At 40.6% G+C, this 7,364-nt stretch overlaps 1 annotated feature.

The window, feature by feature from the left end:
* Positions 3,785 to 4,508: an enhancer, noted in NCBI's record as "H3K27ac-H3K4me1 hESC enhancer chr1:187366310-187367033 (GRCh37/hg19 assembly coordinates)". NCBI's record gives its function as "activates a minimal SCP1, AML or CMV promoter by ChIP-STARR-seq in naive H9 embryonic stem cells {active_cell/tissue: H9 hESC(naive)}" and the evidence as "EXISTENCE:reporter gene assay evidence [ECO:0000049][PMID:30033119]".

Raw genomic sequence — 7,364 nt, 5'->3', positions numbered from 1 at the left:
AAATTCTTGCTATATATCTGGCTGTGTTGGGCAGAATAATGGCCCCAACAAAAATGCCCAAGTCCTAATCTCTGTCACTTGTTATGTTGCATGGCAATAGGAAATTAATGTTGCCAATTACCTGACCTTAACATAGGAAGATTTTCCTGGATGATCTGGGTGGATGCAACATAATCATTACAAGTGTCTTTTATTATTATTATTATTATTATACTTTAAGTTTTGGGTAAATGTACAGAACGTGAAGGTTTTTTACATAGGTATACATGTGCCATGGTGGTTTGCTGCACCCATCAACCTGTCATCTACATTAGGTATTTTTCCTAATGTTATCCCTCCTCTAGCCCCCCACCACCCAACAGGCCCAGGTATGTGATATTCCCCTCCCTGTGTCCATGTGTTCTCATTATTCAGCTCCCAATTATGTGTGAGAACATGCGGTGTTTGGTTTTCTGTTATTGTGCTAGTTTGCTGAGAATGATGGTTTCCATTTTTATCCATGTCCCTGAAAAGGACATGAACTCATCCTTTTTTATGGCTGCATAGTATTTTATGGTGTATATGTGCCATATTTTCTTTATCCAGTCTATCACTGATAGGTATTTGGATTGATTTCAAGTCATTGCTACTGTGAACAGTGCCGCAATAAACATATGCGTGCATGTGTCTTTATAGTAGAATGATCTATAATCCTTTAAGTATATACTCAGTAATAGGATTGCTGGGTCAAATGGTATTTCTAATTCTAGATCCTTGAGGAATCGCCACACTGTCTTCCACAATGGTTGAACTGATTTATACTCCCACCAACAGTGTAAAAGCATTCCTACTTTTCCACATCCTCTCCAGCATCTGTTATTTCCTGACTTTTTAATGATCTCCATTCTAACTGGCATGAGATGGTATCTCATTGTGGTATTGATTTGCATTTCTCTAATGACCAGTGATGATGATGATGTTTGTTGGCTGCATACATGTCTTCTTTGGAGAAGTGTCTGTTCACATCCTTCACCCACTTTTTGATGGATTGTTTGTTTTTTCTTGTAAATTTGTTTAAGTTCTTTGTAGATTCTGCATACTAGCCCTTTGTCAGATGGATACACTGCAAACATTTTCTCCCATTTTGTAGGTTGGCTGTTCACTCTGATGATAGTTTCTTTTGCTGTGCAGAAGCTCTTTAGTTTAATTAGATCCCATTTGTCAATTTTGGCTTTTGTTGCCATTGCTTTTGGTGTTTTAGTCATGAAGTCTTTGCCCATGCCTATGTCCTGAATGGTATTGCCTAGGTTTTCTTCTAGGATTTTTATGGTTTCAGGTCTTGCATTTAAGTCTTTAATACATCTTGAGTTAATTTTTGTATAAGGTGTAAGGAAAGGATCCAGTTTCAGCTTTCTGCATATGGCTAGCCAATTTTCCCAACACCATTTATTCAATAGGGAATCATTTCCCCATTGCTTGTTTTTATCAGGTTTGTCAAAGATCAGGTGGTTATAGATGTGTGGTGTTATTTCTGAAGTCTCTTTTCTGTTCCATTGGTCTATATCTGTGTTTTGGTACCAGTACCATGCTGTTTTTGTTGCTGTAGCCTTGTAGTGTAGTTTGAAGTCAGGTAGCATGATGCCTCCAGCTTTGTTCTTTTTGCTTAGAATTGTCTTGGCTATGTGGGCTCTTTTTTGGTTCCATACGAATTTTAAAGTAGTTTTTTCCAATTCTGTGAAGAAAGTCATTGTTAGCTTGATGGGGATGACATTGAATCTATAAATTACTTTGGGCAGTATGGCCATTTTCATGATATTGATTCTTCCTTTCCATGAGCATGGAATGTTTTTCCCTTTGTGTCCTGTTTTATTTCCTTGAGCAGTGGTTTGTAGTTCTCTTTGAAGAGGTCCTTCACTTTCCATGTAAACTGTATTGCTAGGTATTTTATTCTCTTAGTAGCAATTGTGAATGGGAGTTCACTCATGTTTTGGCTCTCTGTTTGTCTGTTATTGGCGTATAGGAATGCTTGTGATATCTGCACATTGATTTTGTATCCTGAGACTTTGCTGAAGTTGCTTATCAGCTTAAGGAGATTTGTGGCTGAGACGATGGGGTTTTCTAAATATACAATCATGTCATCTGCAAACAGAGACAATTTGACTTCCTCTTTTCCTATTTGAATACCCTTTATTTTTTTCTCTTGCCTGATTGCCCTGGCCAGAACTTCCAATACTATGTTGAGTAGTAGTGGTGAGAGAGGGCATCCTTGTCTTGTGCCAGTTTTCAAGGGAATGCTTCCAGTTTTTGCCCATTCCGTATGATATTGGCTGTGGGCTTGTGATAAATAGCTCTTATTATTTTGAGATATGTTCTGTCAATACCTAGTTTATTGGCAGTTTTTAGCATGAAGGGGTGTTGAATTTTCTTGAAGGCCTTTTCTGTATGTATTGAGATAATCATATGGTTTTTGGCATTGGTTCTGTTTATGTGATGGAGTATGTTTATTGATTTGCGTATGTCAAAGCAGCCTTGCATCCCAGGGATGACTCTGACTTGATCGTAGTGGATAAGCTTTTTGATGTGCTGCTAGATTCGGTTTGCAAGTATTTTATTAAGGATTTTCACATCAATGTTCATCAGGAATATTGGCCTGAAATTTTCTTTTTTTGTTGTGTCTCTGCCAGGTTTTGGTATTAGGGTGATGCTCGCCACATAAAATGAGTTAGGGAGGATTCCCTCTTTTTCTATTGTTTGGAATAGTTTCAGAAGAAATGGTACCAGCTCCTCTTTGTACCTCTAGTAGAATTTGGCTGTGAATCCGTCTGGTCCTGGACTTTGTTTAGTTGGTAGGATATGAATTGCTGCCTCAATTTCAGAACTTGTTATTGGCCTATTCAGGGATTCGACTTCTTCCTGGTTTGGTCTTGGGGGGTGTATGTGTCCAGGAATTTATCCATTTCTTCTAGATTTTCTAGTTTACTTGCATAGACTTGTTTATAGTATTCTCTGATGGTAGTTTGTATTTCTGTGGGATTGGTGGTGATATCTTCTTATCATTTTTTATTGCATCTATTTGATTCTTCTCTCTTTTCTTCTTTATTAGTCTGGCTAGAGGTCTATCTATTTTGTTGATCTTTTCAAAAAACCAGCTCCTGTATTCATTGATTTCTTGAAGGGTTTTTCATGTCTCTATCCCCTTCAGTTCTGTTCTGATCTGAGTTATTTCTTGCCTTCTGCTAGCTTTCGAATTTGTTTGCTCCTGCTTCTCTACTTCTTTTAAACGTGATGTTAGGGTGTTGATTTTAGATCTTTCCTGCTTTCTCTTATGGGTATTTAGTGCTGTATATTTCCTTCTACAGACTGCTTTAAATGTGTCCCAGAGATTCTGGTACACAGTGTCTTTATTCTCATTGGTTTCAAAGAACATCTTTATTTATGCCTTTATTTCGTTATGTACCCAGTAGTCATTCAGGAGCAGGTTGTTCAGTTTCCATGTAGTTGTGAGGTTTTGAGTGAGTTTCTTAATCCTGAGTTCTAATTTGATTGCACTGTGGTCTGAGAGACTGTCATCTGATAGACTGTCATTTATGTTCTTCTCTGAACTGGTTATTCTAGTTAGCGATTCATCTAATCTTTTTTCAAGGTTCTTAGCTTCCTTGCATCGGGTTAGAACGTGCTCCTTTAGCTCAGAGGAGTTTGTTATTACCCACCTTCTGAAGCTTACTTCTGTCAGTTTGTGAAACTCATTCTCCGTCCAGTTTTGTTCCTTTGCTGGCAAGGAGTTGTGATCCTTTGGAGGAGAAGGGGTATTCTGGTTTTTGGAAGTTACAGCCTTTTTTCGCTGGTTTCTCCCCATCTTTGTGGATTTATTTACCTTTGGTCTTTGAAGTCGATGACCTTCGGATGGGGTCTCTGTGTGGACATCCTTTTTGTTGATGTTGATACTATTCCTTGCTGTTTGTTAGTTTTCCTTCTAACATTCAGGCCCCTCTGCTGCAGGTCTGGAGTTTGCTGGAGGCCCACTCCAGACCCTGTTTGCCTGGGTATTACCGACGGAGGCTGCAGAACAACAAAGATTGCTGCCTGTTCCTTCCTCCGGAAGCTTCGTCCCAGAGGGGCACTTGCCAAGTGGCAGCCAGAGCTCTCCTGTATGAGGTGTCTGTCGGCCCTTACTGCAAGTCATCTCCCAGTCAGGATACACGGGGTCAAGGACCCACTTTAGGAGGCAGTCTGTCCCTTATCAGAGCTCAAACACTGTGCTGGGGGATCTGCTACTGTCTTCAGAGCTGCCAGGCAGGGACGTTTAAGTTTGCTGAAGCTGCGTCCCCAATCACCCCTTCCCCCAACTGCTCTGTCCCAGGGAGGTGGGGGTTTTATTTCTAAGTCTCTGACTGGGGTTGCTGCCTTATTTTCAGAGATGCTCTGCCCAGAGAGGAGGGAATCTGGAGAGGCAGTCTGGACGCAGTGACCTTGCTGAGCTGCGGTGGTCTCTGCCCAGTTCAAACTTCCTGGCGGGTTTATTTACACTGTGAGGGTAAAACTGCCTGTTCAAGCCTCAGCAGTGGCTGACCCACCTCCCCCCATCAAGCTGGAGTGTCCCAGTTCGAGCTCAGACTGCTGTGCTAGCAGCAAGGATTTCAAGCCAGTGGATCTTAGCTTCCTGGGCTCCATAAGGGTGGGAACTGCCCAGCCAGACCACTTGGCTCCCTGGCTTCAGTCCCCTTTCCAGGAGAGTGAACAGTTCTGTCTTGCTGGCATTCCTGGAGCCACTGGGGTATGAAAAAAAACCTCCTGTGTCTATCTTGGTGTCTGCCCAAAGGGCCACCAAGTTTTGTGCTGGAAACTCAGGGCCCTTGTGCCATGGGCACTGGAGTGAATGTCCTGGTCTGTGGGTTGCAAAGACCGTGGGAAAAGTGCAGTGTCTGGGCCGGAGTGCATGGTACAATCCCTAATGGCTTCCCTTCGCTAGGAGGAGGAGTTCCCCGACCCCTTGCCCTTCCTGGGTGAGGCAACGCCCCACCCTGCTTTGGCTTGCCCTCCTTGGGCTGCACCCACTGTCCAATCAGTCCCAATGACATGAACCAGGTATCTCAGTTGGAAATGCAGAAATCACTCACCTTCTGTGTCAATCTTGCTGGGAGCTGCAGACCAGAGCTATTCCTATTCAGCCATCTTGCCAGCAATCCCCTGACAAGCATGTTTTAAATGTGGAGGAGGGAGGCAGAAGAGTCAGATATCAGAGAGACCAGACTACATACTGGTGGCTTTGAAGATGGAAGGGGGCCAAGAGTTAGGGAATGCTGCCACCTCTGGAAGTTGAAAAAGACAAGTAAACAGATTCTTCCAAGAGCTTCCAGCAAGGAACACAGTCCTGCTGACCCCTTGATTTTAGCCTAGTGAGACATATTTCAGGCTTCTGAAATACAACACTGTAAAATATTAAGTTTATGTTGTTTAGGCCACTACATTTGTGGTAATTTGTTATAGTAGTAATAGCAAACTAATATATAGACAGTCTTCTAAATATTTTACATGTATTGTCATTTAATTCATCATGATCTTATAATTTAGGTTCTTGTGATTATACTTTTTTCCTTTGTGTGGTTAGAAAAAACAAGGTAGATGCACGGGGAAGTCAAATAACTTGCTAAAGATGGCAAGGATTTTATCATAGGGCATTTAATTTTGGCATTCTGGCCAGAGGGCCTTAAACACTACAAATATTATCACTCTTAAATAAATACATTTTTGGATGCTCCATGTGAGCCCATTGATGTTTATCCATAAATGCTAGCAATCTTAAAAGTGTTACTTCCAATCATTAAAAGCAATATTTTATTCCTCACCTTAAACTTCCTTTTTGTGATTGAAGCACATCATGGGCATAGTAGGATGGGTTAGTGTAAAATAGTTTAAGAATAAATTAATTTCTCAGTAGAATAGCAATATATCAGCAATATTGGTGAAAATCCCAGAATTAGAGGAAAACAAATGTGTCTCTTGTGCTCTTCTTTTCCTTGCTTCTGTCTCTCTTTCTGGTCTTCTGTCTTTCTCTCTCTCTCTCTCTCTCAAACACACACACACACAGAACACACATATGCATGCACATATATTCTTTCAAGAGTAATTACTATGTAATCAAAACAAAGCAATGGCCTCCCCAAGTGAACAGGCCAGAGAGAAGTATAACATGAAAAGGCAGAGGGGAGTTCAGGTTGTGTCCATGGTGTCTGAGATGGTTGGCCAGCAAGGTGTATTGAATATACTTTCTGCCATTTTTCTCATCTCTCACCTAGCAGAATCTGCATCTATCATCAGACATTTGAATATTTTTGCTTCACTATGGACAATCTAAAGAAAACTAGGTAAAAAGAAATCATAAATGTTTATAAGAGCCTTTTAAAATAGCCATTTCTATTACAGGCATACTATGAAAATAAGAAAAAGTGTGAAGTAGAGACCATTTATTTTGTGCTCTCTCTCTTACCTTAGTGATGACTGACTTCTTACCTCTCTACTCTTTTGTTTGTTTGAGACGGAGTATTGCTCTGTCGCCCAGGCTGGAGTGCAGTGGTGCGATCTTGGCTCACTGCAATCTCTGCCTCCCGGGTTCAAGTAATTCTCCTGCCTTGGCCTTCTGAGTAGCTGGGATTACAGGTGTGTGCACCATGCTTGGCTAAATTTTTTTTATTTTTTATTTTTTAGTAGAGACAGAGTTTCGCCATGTTGACCATGCTGGTCTCAAACTCCTGACCTCAAGTGATCATGACCACCTTGGCCTCCCACAGTGCTGGAATTACAGGCATGAGCCACTGTGCCCAGCCTAAAAGTCTTCTTTCTTATTGCATGAAGTTTCATAATTGTTTAAATAAAATCTAAAAAAATTACTTCATCTATCTATCTAAATTTTATTGTAGTAATGAAAGAATGCATGCATTTTATTTGGAAATTATGCCGAAATAAAGAAATAAGAAATGGTTAATTGTACCAAAAATTAATGTTAAGTTATATGCCAGGCATTTGAATTCCCAAGTGATGGCAGAAATATCTTGCTACTAGTAAGCAAACCCAATTATTAATTCAATGACATCGCATGCTAAATGGAAACAATCACACTGTGCCCATGAACTGAGATGCCACCATCCCTCACTAGACAGAGACAATGCACTCCTCCTTTGCCTGGAAAAGCGTTTTCTTAAAATAATTTCTCCACACTGCGAATCAGTGACAGGTATTAACCAAGTCAGTTGGCAAACATCATTATTTTTTTACATAGGATGCTTCTACATGACAGTTTCATAATAACCTAAAAGTGCACATAATACCCAGTGCAAGCCCTACATTAAATTATTAAGTAGTGTATGCAGCATGTTTGTAATATTCTC

This window comes from Homo sapiens, chromosome 1 (assembly GCF_000001405.40).
Source record: "Homo sapiens chromosome 1, GRCh38.p14 Primary Assembly".
NCBI classification, from domain to species: Eukaryota; Metazoa; Chordata; class Mammalia; order Primates; family Hominidae; genus Homo; species Homo sapiens.
This window is presented reverse-complemented; position numbering and strand designations above follow the sequence as displayed.